Below are 15,841 nucleotides of genomic sequence, written 5' to 3'. Positions count from 1 at the left end.
TAACACTGGGCCTCATACAAGGTCTGCTATAACCACTACCTGGATACTACCTAAGTTTCCTCAAGGCCCTGAAGCTCTATAGTAAGCAGGTTGTAAAGTCAGTCAGGCCTGTGTTCTTTCCTTCAGGGCAGGGATTCCCACAGTCCCAAGGTGGTTCCAGAGGTGCCAAGAACTAGAGTCAAAAACATTAAAATCTACCTGGTGTTCTATTGTACTATTCCTGAGCTGGCACTCAGGCCAGATGATGCAGTCCTTCTCACTCTTCCCTCTCCTTTCCAAAGAAAGAGGAGCCTTACCCCATGGCTACTGCCACAGCAGGTCCCCAAGGAGTAATGCCAGACTACTACCAATGTTTCCTTAAGGCCAAGTGCTCTGCAGTCAGCTTGTGATGAATACTGCCTGGCTTATGACTCAACTTCTGGGCAGTGGACTCCCCTCTGGCCCTAAGCAGGTCTTAAAATGTCCAAGGGCCATGATCTGGAATCAGAAAACCCACATGATCGCTTGGTGTTCTACCTCTCTGTGGCAAAGTTCGTACCTAAGGTGCAAGACAAAGTCACCTTTACTTTTCCCTCTGTTTTGTCAAGCAGAAAAAGTCTCTTGCCACAGTCACCACAGCTGGAAATGTGCTGAGTCTCACCTGAAGCCAGCGAGTCTCAAAGCCTCACCCAAGTTCCTCGATGTAGTAGTATCACTTCTGGTTATTCTGGGCTCAAGGGGTCTTAAGTCAGCTATGATGAATTCTAGCAAAACTAAGTCTTTCCTCTCAAGGCAGCAGAGTGTGTTGTTCCATTTTTGCCCAGGGTATGTCTGGAAATGTCATCTGGTTGCTAGGGCCTGGAAAGAGAACCTCATGACCCTCATCATTGCCCTATCCTGCTTTTGCTGAGCTGGTATCCAAGATGCAAGACAAAGTCTCCCCCATTCTTCCCTCTCCTTTTCTAAAGCAGAAGAAAGGAGTCTCTTTTGGAGCTGGAAGCTGTGCAACCTAGGATTTTGGAAATGCCAGCACTCCCTTAGTTGCTCCATCTAGTGTCTCAGTAGGTCATGTCCCCCCGTCTCCTGGTTCTTGGCTCAGTTCAGCACTAAGACTCACCTAATGTTGCAGTCCTTTGGCCTAGACTGCCTTTCAAATTTTTTTAGAGTCTATATCAGTTTATCCTACGGTGATGAGGTCTGTGAGAGGCCAGGCTTCCACCTCTGAGATAAGCAATTCCCCTCAGGCTAGGGCTGGTTTAAATGCTCCCTCCATTGGTGGGCGGCAGCTGAGTTTGGTCCAGTTTTTATTTCTGGTATAACAGGAAGGCATTGAGTTCAATGTCTCAAAATTGCTGCACTTTCCCTCCCCCAGCACACAGAATCATTTTCTGCACCACACCTTGGATGCCAGTTGGTGGGGGAGGGATGGCATTGGTGATTCAGTACTGGTTTTTCTACCTCTTCAGTGCCTCTCAGCGATATGAAGTTAAGACCAGGTATATAAGTCCTCCCTTGATTATTGGTTCTTAAGAAGGTGCTTTTCTTGTGTATATATTTGTTAAATTGCTGCTTTTGCAGTGGAGATGGTTAATGGAACCTTGTAGTTTGCCATCTGGCAATGTTTCCATCCCAAGAATAAGTTACTTATTATCTTGATAAAGCAGAAGACAGTTTATTAAAATGTATAGGTCTTCTGCCTCCTGCTAAGATGAAGTAACAGGGTAATCCCACCTATAAGCACTGAAAAACCAGACAAAATAACAGTATGAATGTATCAGATTACTGAATGAAAAAGGTTTTAGTCACTTGCTCTGCACTGGGTGGCAAAGTCAGGCCAAGACTGGTAGTCCATCTGAAATAAAAATAGGAAGCTAGGATTCTGCCTAAGCCAAAGTGGCTAGAGTTCATTGAGCACATTATTAAGAAGAGAAATATGTCTGAGAGTGAGAAATCCCAAAATCTTCAAACATTCTCTGCCAAATATCAGGTGAATATAGACCAGTGTATATATGTGAGAAAAATATCCAACCCCAAGGAAAAGCTACTTGAAGAGAGTAGAGGAAGCTCTGGTTGGAGCTAACTTAGGTCTTAAAATAGTGCCTGTTTCCAAAACCCAGAGTGGAACACACAATAATTCAGAAGACAAAAGATAATGTACCTGGTTCCCCAGTAGTGGGGAAGAATTAACTCTAGATTAAATGAAACTCTGATTCTGCCTAACCTAGCTTAAAAGCAAGATCTAAAAGAGTAAAACTGTTTCCAAACGATTTAACCATGTCCCACAAAATTATATATATATGCACAACACCCAATATATAAAATTAACAATGTGTAAAATGATAGATTGAACTTTTAAAGATAAAAACTGTAAAGTATAAGATTAAAACTACACTTCCGTTAATAACAGATAAGGCATTGTAAACAAAAATCAGTGAAATTCAAACCAGCAAAATAATCTATCAAAAGGGAAACACACGGGTGAAAAAAAAGAATGGAAAAAATAAACAGTATATCATGAAACTCTGGAAAAATTTTAAGTAACCAACCATACATGCAATTAAAGCCTTTGAAAGAGAGGAAAGAACAAAATGGCTTGGAAAAAATAAAAAAAAAAAAGAGCTGAACATTTTCCAAATAAGATGAATACTGTAAACCAACAAATTCAGGATATTAACTGAACCCCAAGAAAAAAGAAACATGAGTAGTACTATGCCAATCTACATCATCATCAACTTGCTAACAACCAGTAAGAAAGGGAAAAATCTTAAAAACAGCTATAGGGAAATGAACTGTTGTGTACAAAGAAATAAAGATAAGATGGCACCAGATTGTTTATCACATACAGTGCAAGCTAAAAGATGTTGGAGAAACATATTTTAAGTTCTGAATTGAAAAAAAAAAATGTCAGCTGGCAATTCTTTATCCAGTAAAATTTTTCAAAATTTCAATATTTCAAAAATAATGAGATTAAAACTTTTTCAGACATATAATACCTGGAAAAAATGTTTACCAATAAGCCTACATTATGAGAAATTTAAAGAAAGTCCCTTAGGCAAAAGAAAATGATGACAGAGAGAATATGAATCTACACAAAGGGAGAAAAAGCACTGGAAATAAGAAATACATAATTAAATATATAAAATTTTTATTATTTATATTTTTAAAAGGCAATTGACTGTATCAGCAAATTAGTAACAAATTATTCCTAGGTTTACTATAGGTAGAATTAAAAAGACAAAAACTAAGGGAGAAGTAGAAGTATACTTTTGCAATGTTGTAATGCTATAAGTGAAGTAGTATAATATCAGTACACAGTAGGTTGTACAGGAAACTCAATGTGAGTAGAAAGGAAATGAAGAGAATGAAAGAATAAATCAATAAAACAAACAAGTATTAATAATGAGTATCAATATAGTCAAAATCTAGTTCTTTAAAATAAAATTTTAGCCAGACTTATCCGGAAAAAAAAAATGACACAAATTTTCATATCAGAAAGGAGAAAGATGATATCACCACATATTCTACAGATATTAAATATGTTAAAAAGGATGATAAGAGAATATCAACAAATTCATGCTAATTTGATAATTTAAATATAAGAAACATTTTATTAAAAGACATCAAGTACAAAGCTTACTCAAGAATAAATTGAGAATAGATTACTCAAGAATACTGGGTGTGGTGGCTCACACCTGAAATCCCAGCTCTTCGGGAAGCATAGGCGGGCAGATCACTAGAGGTCAGGAATTCGAGACCAGCCTAGCCAACATGGCAAAACCCCATCTCTACTAAAAATACAAAAAATTAGCCGGGTGTGGTGTCGGGTGCCTGTAATTCCAGCTACTCAGGAGGCTGAGGCAAGAGAATCACTTGAACCTGGGAGGCGGAGATTGCAGTGAGCTGAGATCCTGCCACTGCATTCCAGCCTCTGTGACAGAAGAGGAATAATAGATAACCTGAATAAACTTTTGTATATTAAATAAATTGAATTTTTAGTTGCAAAAGTTCCCACAAAGAAAATCACAAGCACAGATGGCTTTACTCATGAATTCTATCAAACACTTAACAAAGAAGTCATGCAAATATATGTGAATTACTCAATAGAGTTAAAGATGATATAATATATTCCAACTCATTCTAGGAGGCCAGCATTCTAAGAGGTGAGTGATACCGAAACTACACAAAGATATTACAAGAAAATTACAGAAAAATATCACTCATAAATAGTTATGCAAAATGTATTAACCTTTAGGAAACCTAATCACTCCATATTAAGAAATAATACAGCATGACAAAGTTGATTTATCCCAGGATTGCAAGGATTATTTAACAGTCAAAAATAAATAAATGAAATTAAACATAATAACAGCCTAATGCAGAACATCCATATGATCATCCAAATACGTGCATAAAGATTCAACATCCATTCCTGATTAAAACTTGCAACAAACATACAGATATCACATACTTATAGTTGAAAAACTGTATGCTATTTACAAAAAGCATAAACCAGGATAATGTGTGCACTTTCACCACTTCTGCTCAACATTGTCCTAGAAGTTTTACCCAATGCAATATTGCAAGAAATGGGGTGGAAAGGGCTTCCAGATTGTAAAGAAGTATGTAAAGCTTTATTTATTCACAGATGACATGATCATCTACACAGAAAAGTCTATACAATCTACAAAAAGATTGCTAAATCTTATTAGTGAGTTTAGTACAGTTACAAGATTCAACATAAAAAATACAAATTGTATTTCTTTATAATATCAATAAGCTATTGAAAAAATGAATTTAAAATATTATTTGTAATAGAATAAAATCATAAGATGATACATCTCACAAAACATGTGTATACTGAAATCTACAGGTCACTGAAAATTAAAGATATTTCCTTCTTTTATAAGGCTTAATTTTATAAACACACACACATCAAATTATGTTTATCCATTCCATCTATAGGCAGATACTTAGGTTGTTTTCACATTTTGGCGATTGTGAATAATGCTGCAATGGACATAGGACTGCATATATCTCTTCAATATAGTGATATTTTTTCCTTTGTATGTATACCTAGAGATAGGATTGTTGGATCATATGATAGCTCTATTTTTAATTGTTTGAGCAACCTCCATACAGTTTTCCATAATGGATATACCAATATACCTTTCTACCAACAGTATATAAAAGTTCCTTTTTCCTTACATTCTAACCAACACTTGTTATCCATGAACTTTTTAAGTTATAGACATTCTAACAGGTGTGAGCTGATCTATCATTGTGGTTTTGATTTTCATTTCCCTGATGGGTAGTAACGCTGAATGTATTTTTATATACTTATTAGTCATTTGTATGTCTTCTTTAAGAAATGTCTATTCATGTCATTTCCCCTTTTTTAATTGAGTATTTGGAATTTTTTGCTTTTGAGTTGTAATTTTATATTTTTGGACATTAACTTCTTATTGGGTATGTTGTTTACAAACATCTTTGATTCCATAGGTTGCTTTTCCATTTTGTTGATTGCTTCCTTTGATGTGGAGCAGCTTTTTAGTTTGATGTAGTTCCACTTGTTTATTTTTTATTTTCTTGCCTTTAGTTTTGTTACTGGAAAGGGGTCCTGATCCAGACCCCAAGAGAGGGTACTTGGATCTTGTACAAGAAAGAATTTGAGGTGAATACATAGAGTAAAGTGAAAGCAAGTTTATTAAGAAAGTAAAGAATTAAAGAATGGCTACTCCAAAGGCAGAGCAGCCCCGAGGGCTGCTGGTCGGCTATTCTTATGGATCTTTCTTTAGTATATGCTAAACAAGGGGTGGATTATTCACAAGTTTTCCAGGAAAGGGGTGGGCACTTTCCAGAACTGAGTGTTCCTCCTCTTTTTTGACTACATAGAGTAACTTAAGGACATTGCCATGGCATCTGTAAACTGTCATTGCACTGGTGGGAATGACTTTTAGTATTCTAATGCATTAAACTTAGTGTATAATGAGCAGTGAGGATGATCAGAGGTTACTTTTGTTGCTATCTTGGTTTTGGCGGGTTTTGGCCTGCTTCTTTAATGCAACCTGTTTTAACAGCAACATCTTTGTGACCTGTATCTTTTGCCGACCTCCTATTTCATTCTGTGACTTAAAATGCTTTACCTCCTGGGAATGCAACCCAGTAGGGCTCAGACTTATTTTACTTGGGCACCTATTCATGATATAGTCACTCTGATTCAATTGCCTCTGACAGTTTTTATTTCAAATACAGGAAGCCTTTGATAAGACCAATGTCAAGGATCTCTTCCACTATGTTTTCTTCTAGGAGTTTTAGGTTACATTACTTACATTTAATTTTTAAATCCATTTAAAATGGATTTTTGTGTGTGATGTAAGAAAAAGTTTCAATTGCATTATTTTGCATATGGATATCCACTTTTTCTAACAGTATTTATTGTAGAGTCTGTCCTTTTCCATTTTGCATTCTTGATGCCTTTATTAAAAAAAAGTTGACTATGTATGTGTAAGTTTTGATATGGTTTGGATGTTTTGTCCCCTCCAAATCTCGTGTTGAAATTTGGCCTCCAATGTAATAGGTAGCCCTAGTGGGAGGTGTTTGAGTCATGAGGGAAGATTCCTCATGAATAGCTTGGTGATATCCTTGCAGTAATAAGTGAGATTTGCTCTATGAGTTTATATGAGATCTGGTTGTTTAAGAGTGTAGCACCTTTCCTCTCTCTTTCTCTGGCTCTCACTGTGTGATAGGTCTGTTCCCCCTCCACCTTCTGCCATGACTGAAACCTTCCTAAGGTTGTCACTAGAAGCTGAGCAGATGGCAAAACCAAGCTTTCAGTACAGTCTGAATAATCATGAACTAATTAACCCTTTTTTCTTTATAAATTGCCCAGCCTCTGGTATTAACTTATAGTGGTGTAAAAATGGACTAACACAGAAAATTGGTACTGAGGAGTGGGACATTGCTAAAAAGATACCTGAAAATGTGAAAGAAACTTTGGAATGGGGTAATAGGCAGAGGTTGGAAGAGTTTGGAGGGCTCAGAAGAAGACAGGAAGATAAGGAAACGTTTGGAACTTCTTAGATAATTTTTAAGTGATTGTGGACAAAATGCTGATAGAAATATGGACAGTAAAGGCCAAGCTGATGAGGTCTCACATGGAAACGAAGTGATTTGAAACTGGAGTTAAGGTCACCAATGTTACATTCTAGGAAAGAGCTTGCCTGCAAAGTGTTCACATCCTAGGGTTCTGTGGGTGTTTGAAATGAAGAGTGATGACTAAGCATATCTAGCAAAAAAAAATTCTAAGCAACAGAGTGTTCAAGATTTGGTCTGGTTCCTTTCATGTATGTCCGTGTGAAGAGACCACCAAACAGGCTTTGTGTGAGCAATACAGCTGTTTATTTCACCTGGGTGCAGGTGGGCTGAGTCCGAAAAGAGAGTCAGCGAAGGGAGATGGGGTGGGGCCATTTTATAGGATTTGGGTAGGTAAAGGAAAAAGGGGGGTTGTTCTCTGGCAGGCAGGAGTGGGGGTCACAAGGTACTCAGTGGGGGAGCTTTTGAGTCAGGATGAGCCAGGAGAAGGAATTTCACGAGACAATGTCATCAGTTAAGGCAGGAACAGGCCATTTTCACTTCTTTTGTGGTGGAATGTCATCAGTTAAGGCAGGAACCGGCCATCTGGATGTGTACGTGCAGATCACAGGGGATATGATGGCTTAGCTTGGGCTCTGAGGCCTGACATTCCTGTCTTCTTATATTAATAAGAAAAATAAAATGAAATAGTGGTAAAGTGTTGGGACGGTGAAAATTTTTTGGGGGTGTTATGGAGAGATAATGGGCGATGTTTCTCAGGGCTGCTTCGAGCGGGATTAGGGGCGGTGTGGGAACCTAGAGTGGGAGAGATTAAGCTGAAGGAAGATTTTGTGGTAAGGGGTGATATTGTTGGGTTGTTAGAAGAAACATTTGTCATTTAGAATTATTGGTGATGGCCTGGATACAGTTTTGTATGAATTGAAAAACTAAATGGAATAAGAGAAGGAGAAAAACAGGTATTAAAGGACTAAGAATTGGGAGGACCTAGGACATCTAATTAGAGAGTGCCTAAGGAGGTTCAGCATAGCCTTGCCAGTAAAGATTATTTATTTACTTTGAGAGTTAAGAATGGCGGTTTTGGGATAGCACCAGGAGATATCAGCTGTGCTGGCTTGGAGAAACAGTGTAAACTGGCAGTGTAAACAAGAGCAGAGCATGTATGAGTAGTTGAAAACGGTGAATAGGAGTATGACTAGACAGAAGATAGTAGGGATGACAAGTTTTTTGGGGCACAGTCCAAGTTGGTCTGGTGTCTGGAATGAGACTGGGGCCTAATAAAAAGGAGCTCAAATGGGCTGTACCTTGTAGCACTCCGAGGACAGGCCTGAATTCTGAGAAGCGACAGTGGTAAAAGTATTGTCCAGTCCTTTTTAAGTTGGTGGCTGAGCTTGATGAGGTGTGTTTTTAAAAGACTTTTAGTCCGTTCTACTTTTCCTGAAGACAGAGGACCGTAAGGGATATAAAGGTTTCACTGAATACTAGGAGCCTGAAAAAGTGCTTGGCTGATTTAACTAATAAAGGCTGGTCTGTTATCAGACTGTGTAGAGGTGGGAAGGCTAAACTGAGGAATTGTGTCTGACAGAAGGGAAGAAATGACTGCGGTGGCCTTCTCAGACCCTGTAGGAAAGGCCTCTACCTATCCAGTGAAAGTGTCTACCTAGACTAAGAGGTATTTTAGTTATCTGACTTGGGGCATGTTGAGTAAAGCTAATTTGCCAGTCCTGGGTGGGGGCAAATCCTTGAGCTTGATGTGTAGGGAAGGGAGGGGGCCTGAATAATCCTTAAGAAGTAGTAGAATAGCAAATGGAACACTGAGAAGTTATTTCCTTGAGGATAGATTTCCACGATGGAAAGGAAATGAGAGGTCTTAAGAGGCGGGCTAGTGGCTTTGTACTATAGCATAGCCTGCCTTTGCTGGCGTGTGGTGATTAGGCCTGGTGGAACTGCCATCAATAAATCAACCGTGATCAGGGTGAGGAACAGGAAAGATGGAAATATGGGGAAATGGGGTGAATGTCAGGTGGATCAGAGAGATACAGTCATGGGGGTCAGGTGTGGTATCAGGAATAATGTGGGAGGCCGGATTGAAGTCCGGGCCAGGAACAATGGTAATTGTGGGACTTAACAAAGAGTGAGTGAGTACAGCTGAAGGAGCCGGGGAGCAGAAAGTATATGCATCAGGTATGAGAAAGAAAATAGATTTTGGAAGTTATGAGAAATGTAGAGAGTAAGTTGAACATAGTTTGTAATTTTGAGGGCCTCTAAAAGTATTAAAGCAGCAGCAGCCTCTGCATGCGGACATGAGGGCTAGGCTAAAACAGTAAGGTCAAGTTGTTTGGACAGAAAGGCTACAGGGTGCGGTCCTGGCTCTTGTGTAAGAATTCTGACCACACTAACCATGCCTAGGAAGGAAAGGAGTTGTTGTTTTGTAAGGCATTGAGGTTTGGGAGATTAATCGGACACGATCAGCAGGGAAAGCACGTGTGTTTTCATGAGAATTATGCCGAGATAGGTAACAGATGAGGATGAAATTTGGGCTTGACTGAAGTAACGGGGGCTGTCTGTGAAGGCTTGCAGCAGTACAGCCCAGGTAATTTGCTGAGCCTATTGGATGTCAGGGTCAGTCTAAGTGAAAGTGAAGAGAGGCTGGGACGAGGGGTGCAGGGGAATAGTGAAAAAAGCATCTTTAAGATCGAGAATGGAATAGTGAGTTGTGGAGGAAGGTATTGAGGACAAAAGAGTGTAAGGGTTGGGCACCACAGGATGGATAGGCAAAACAATTTGGTTGATAAGGCGCAGATCCTGAACTAATCTGTAAGACTTGTCCAGTTTTTGGACAGGTAAAATGGGGGATTTGTAAGGAGAGTTTATAGGTTTTAGAAGCCCATGCTGTAGCAGGCAAGTGATAACAGGCTTTAATCCTTTTAAAGCATGCTGTGGGATGGGATATTGGCATTGAGCGTGGTAAAGGTGATTAGGTTTTAATGGGATGGTAATGGGCATGTGATCGGTTGCCAGGGAAGGAGTACAGATGTCCTATACTTGTGGGTTAAGGTTGGGGGATATGAGAGGAAGATGCGAAAGAGGCTTTGGGTTGGGGAGAAGGGTGGCAATGAGATGCAGCTGTAGTCCAGGAATAGTCAGGGAAGCAGATAATTTGGTTAAAGTGTCTCAGCCTAATAAGGGAACTGGGCAGGTGGGGATAACTAAAAAGGAGTGCTTAAAAGAGTATTGTCTAAGTTGGCACCAGAGTTGGGGAGTTTTAAGAGGTTTAGAAGCCTGGCTCTCAATACCCACAACAGTTATGGAGGCAAGGGAAACAGGCCCTTGAAAAGAAGGTAATGTGGAGTGGGTAGCCTCTGTATTGATTAAGAAGAGGATGGACTTACCCTCCACTGTAAGAGTTACCTAAAGCTTGGTGTCTGTGATGGTCTATGGGGCTTCCGAGGCGATCGGGCAGCGTCAGTCTTCAGTCGCTAAGCCAAGAAGGAGTCAGTCAGAGAGCCCTGGGCCAGAGTTCCAGGGGCTCTGGGAGTGGCTGCCAGGTGAGTTGAACAGTCCAATTTCCAGTGGGGTCCCGCACAGATGGGACAAGGCTTAGGAGGAATCCTGGGCTGCAGGCATTCCTTGGCCTGGTGGTCAGATTTCTGGCACTTGTAGCAAGCTCCTGGGGGAGGAGATTCTGGAGGAACACCTGGCCGCTGCGGTTCAGGCGTTTGGAAGTTCTTGTGTGCTGGAGATGTGGCTGGGGTTTGTCTCACAGTGGAGGCAAGGAATTGCAACTTTTTTCTATTATTGTACACCTTGAAGGTGAGGTTAATTAAATCCTGTTGTGGAGTTTGATGGCCAGAATTTAATTTTTGGAGTTTTATTTAATGTTGGGAGCAGATTTGGTAATAAAATGCATTTTGAGAATAAGACGGCCTTTTGACATTTTAGGGTCTAGGGCTGTAAAGTGTCTCAGGGTTGCTGCCAAACAAGTCATGAACTGGGATGGATTTTTATATTTGATGAAAAACAGCCTAAACGCTATCTGATTTGGGATAAAGAAAAAGGAGCATTAACCTTGACTATGCCTTTAGCTCCAGCCACCTTTTTAAGAGTAAATTGCTGGGCAGGTGGGGGAGGGCTAGTCACAGAATGAAACTGTAAGCTGGACCGGGTGTGAGGAGGAGAGGTGATAAAAGGATTATAGGGTGGAGGAGCAGAGGCTGAGGAAGAATTGGGACCTAGCTCAGCCTGGTAAGGAGCAGCCTGGGGAGGAGGGGAGAGGTCAGATGGGTCTGTAGAAAAGGAAGATTAGAAATACTCAGCGATGCTTGGGGCTGGGACTGAGGGGACAGGTGGGAGGGAAAGAAGGAAGATTTGGGATGAGTTGCACTGGGCACAGAGACTAGGGAGGGACTGATGTGTAAAAGAATGCCTGGACGTCAGGCACCTCAGACCGTTTGCCCATTTTATGACAAGAATTATTTAGATCTTGCAGGATGGAAAAATTGAAAGTGCCGTTTTCTGGCTATTTGGAACTACTGTCGAGTTTGTATTGGGGTCAAGAGGCATTGCAGAAGAAAATAAGATGCTTAGATTTTAGGTCAGGTGAGAGTTGAAGAGGTTTTAAGTTCTTAAGAACACAGGCTAAGGGAGAAGAAGGAGGAATGGAGGGTGGAAGGTTGCCCATAGTGAAGGAGGCAAACCCAGAGAAAAGAGAGAGTAGAGACATGGAGGGAAGGGGTTTAGGAGTTCTTACCCTCCAGAAAAGCAGGAAAGCGGTCGGGGCACAGAGATACGAGGTCAGGGTGTGGAAATAAGGGATCAGGGCACAGAGATATAAGGGGTTGGGGTGCTTACCCCTCCCCCAGAAAAGCAGGACTTGCCACTAAGGGTGAAGGCAAAGGGTTTGGGGGTTTCTTGCCCCCCAGAAAGGCAAAGAAGGGGTAGAGACACGGAGAGAAGGGGCTGGGGTACTTGCCCCTTCCCCAGAAAAGCAGGACTTGCTGCTAAGGGTGCAGGACCAACACAGACGTCACTGCGTGGTCTGACACCTCTGAAACCTGGGTGAATAATTAGAGAGGTGTCCCTGCAATGATTAAACACCAAGGGAAGGCTGCCTTCCCTAGTCTGTGACTGGCGCCGGAGTTTTGGGTCCACAGATAAAACGTGTCTCCTTTGTCTCTACCAGAAAATGAAAGGAATTGAAATTAAGAGAAGGGAGAGATTGAAGTGTGGCGCCAAGATTGAAAGGAGAAACAGGTTGAGGGATAGTGAGGGAGACTGGAGAAGAGAGTAAAAAGAGGCTGCTTACCGGATTTGAAATTGGTGAGATGTTTCTTGGGCTGGTCAGTCTGAGAACCTGAGGTTGTAGGTGGATCTTTCTCATGGAGCAAAGAGCAGGAGGACAGGGCATTGATTTCCCAAGGGAGGTCCCCCGATCTGAGTCATTGCACCAAATTTCATGCGTGTCCGTGTGAAGAGACCACCAAACAGGCTTTGTGTGAGCAATAAAGCTGTTTATTTCACCTGGGTGCAGGTGGGCTGAGTCCGAAAAGAGAGTCAGTGAAGGGAGATGCGGTGGGACCGTTTTATAGGATTTGGGTAGGTAAAGGAAAAAGGGGGTTTGTTCTCTGGCAGGCAGGAGTGGGGGTCACAAGGTACTCAGTGGGGGAGCTTTTGAGCCAGGATGAGCCAGGAGAAGGAATTTCACAAGACAATGTCATCAGTTAAGGCAGGAACAGGCCATTTTCACTTCTTTTGTGGTGGAATGTCATCAGTTAAGGCAGGAACCGCCCATCTGGATGTGTATGTGCAGATCACAGGGGATATGATGGCTTAGCTTGGGCTCAGAGGCCTGACAGTTCCTTCCTTCTAAAAGTCTATAATAATATATGAAAGCAATTTCTCAAAGTTGGAAATTATAATGGAAACAGAGTGTAAAAGTTTGGAAAATTTGCAGCCTGGCATTGTGATAGAGAAACAAAGAGCATTTTCAGTAGAGGAATTAAAATGGGCAGTGGAGCAACCACTTGCTAGAGATATTTGCATGACTAAAAGGGATCCAAGTGCTAATATTCAAGACAATAGTATAAAGACCTCAAAGACATCTCAGAGATCTTTGAGGCAGACCCTCCTGTCAAAGGCCCAAAGGACCAAGGACAAAAGAATGGTTTTGTGGGCAAGGTTCAAAGCCCCACTGCCCTGTGCCGACTTGGAGCACTGCTCCATGCATCCCTGCTGCTCCAGTTCCAGCCATGGCTCAGAGGGCCCTAGGTATAACTCAAGCCGCTGCCTTGCAGAGCTCAAGCCATAAGCCTTGGCAGCTTCCATGTGGTATTTATCCTGCAGGTGCACAGAATGAAAAAGTGAAGGAGGCTTGGCACCTTCAACCTAGATTTCAGAGAACATGTAGGAAAGCCTCAGGGCCAGGCAGAAACCTGTCATAGAGGCAAAGCCTCAACAGAGAGAATTTACTAGAGCAGTGCCAAAGGGAAATGTGGGGTTGAAATCCTTACACAGATTTCCTGTGGTTTTGTCATACAATCTTAAGGATTTCTTTTCTATGTCTGTGAAAAATGCTATAGTAATTTTGATAGAAATTATGTTGACATTGTAGATTACTTAGGTTGTTTTGCTTTGAATGTGTCCTCAAAGTTCAGGTGTTTGAAATTTAATCCCCAATGCAACAGTGTTGAGAGGTAAGACCTTAAAAATATAATAAGTTCATAAAGTTTTGCCATCATGAATGAATTAATGCCGTTATCATGATAGTGGTTTAGTTATCACAGAAATGAATTGTTGAAAAAAGGATGAGTTCATCTTCTTCTTGCTTTCCCTCTTTCCATAGTCCTGAATTTCCCAACCCCTAGAACTGTGATCCAAATAGGTTTTTCTTCATTATAAATTACCCAGTCTTAGGTGTTTTTTATCACAGCACAAAATGGACTAAGGTAGTATAGACATTTGTACATTATTAATTTTTCCAGTTTATAAACTTGGGCTATGTTTCTTTTTAAGTCTTCTTTAATTTCTCTTATCAATATTTTATAGTTTTCAGTGTACAGGTTTTATAACTCATTGGTTAAATTTATTTCTATGTATTCTATTATTTCTGATGTTATTCTAAATTTGACTGTTTTTTTTTGGTTTGTTTCCTTATTTGAATAGTTCTTTGTTAGTGCATAGAAATGCAACAGATTTTTGTTTGTTGATTTGTATGCTGCAGCTTTCCTAAATTCATACATTCCTTCTAGAGGTGTTTTGTGCAGTCTACAGGGATGTGTGGGTATGTTTGTGTGTGTATGTGTGTGTGTGTATACACGTATATATATGTACAATATATATACATGTGTATATATATGTACTATATATACGTGTATATATATATGCATATATATGTACAATATATATACGTATATATGTACATATATACGTATATATAATGTACAAATATGTACATTATATAATGTACAAATATGTACAAATATGTACATTATATAATGTACAAATATGTACATTATATAATGTACAAATATGTACATTAAATATGTACATTATATAATGTACAAATATGTACATTATATAATGTACAAATATGTACATTAAATATGTACATTATATAATGTACAAATATGTACATTAAATATGTACATTATATAATGTACAAATATGTACATTAAATATGTACATTATATATTTGTACATTATATAATGTACAGTAACATATAATGTACAAATTTTGCACATTAAATATGTACATGTATGTACATTATATATGTATATATTATGTACAAATATATATACGTGTGTGTAATACACACGTGTATATATATATATATTTGTACATTACTTTTAAAGGTGTTTTGTGCAGTATATAGGGATATACATCCCTCTAGAAGTAATGTATGGAGCTATATCTATCTATACATACACACACACACACACACACACACATACGTATATAATGTCATCTTTAAACAAAGACAATTTAACGTCTTCTTTTATGATTTAGATGTGTTTTTGGTTTTGTTTCTTTTGCTAATTGCTCTGGCTAGAACTTCCAGTATTATGTTAAATAGAAGTGGCAAGAGTGAGCATTCTTGTTTTGTTCCTGATCTTAGAAGAAAAGCTTCCAACTTTTATTTTTGATATTAGCTCTGGGCCTGTAAAATATAGCCTTTACTATGTTGAGGTACTTTTTTTCTATACCTAATTTCTTGAGAGGTTTTCATCATGAAATGATGATGAATTTTTCCATATGCTTTTCCTACATTAATTAAAATGATCATATGCTTTTGTTTTTTAGTCTGTTCAGCTACTGTATTACATTTATTGATTTGCATATATTGAAGCATCCTTGCATCTCAGTAATAAATATCATTTGATTATGGTGTATGATAGTTTTAATGTGTTCTTATATTTGATTTGCTAGCATTTGTTGAAGATGTTTATATCTATGTTCATTAGTCCTACTGGCTTGTAATTTCTTTTTCTGTAATATTCTTGTCTGGGTTTGATACCAGGATGATGCTGTCCTCATAAAATGGGATTGGAAGAATTTTTTATGAGACATTTTTATTATTGATTCAATCTCTTTGCTTGTTACTGGTCTGTTAAGATTCTCTGCCTTCATGATTCAGTGTTGATTAGATTATATGATTCTAGGAATTTATTAATTGCTTTTAAGTTATCCAGTTTGTTGGTGTATAATGGTTCATAATAGTCTCATTATCCTTTGCATTTTAGTGGTATCAGTTGTAATGGTTTCTCCTTAATTTCA

The 15,841-nt window shown here is 39.3% G+C and overlaps 1 annotated feature.

Annotated features, from left to right (window-relative positions):
- Positions 12,504-13,498: an enhancer, noted in NCBI's record as "OCT4-NANOG-H3K27ac hESC enhancer chrX:86236311-86237305 (GRCh37/hg19 assembly coordinates)". NCBI's record gives its function as "activates a minimal SCP1, AML or CMV promoter by ChIP-STARR-seq in naive and primed H9 embryonic stem cells {active_cell/tissue: H9 hESC(naive and primed)}" and the evidence as "EXISTENCE:reporter gene assay evidence [ECO:0000049][PMID:30033119]".

The sequence above is a fragment of the Homo sapiens genome, chromosome X (genome assembly GCF_000001405.40).
Source record: "Homo sapiens chromosome X, GRCh38.p14 Primary Assembly".
Lineage (NCBI taxonomy): Eukaryota > Metazoa > Chordata > Mammalia > Primates > Hominidae > Homo > Homo sapiens.
This window is presented reverse-complemented; position numbering and strand designations above follow the sequence as displayed.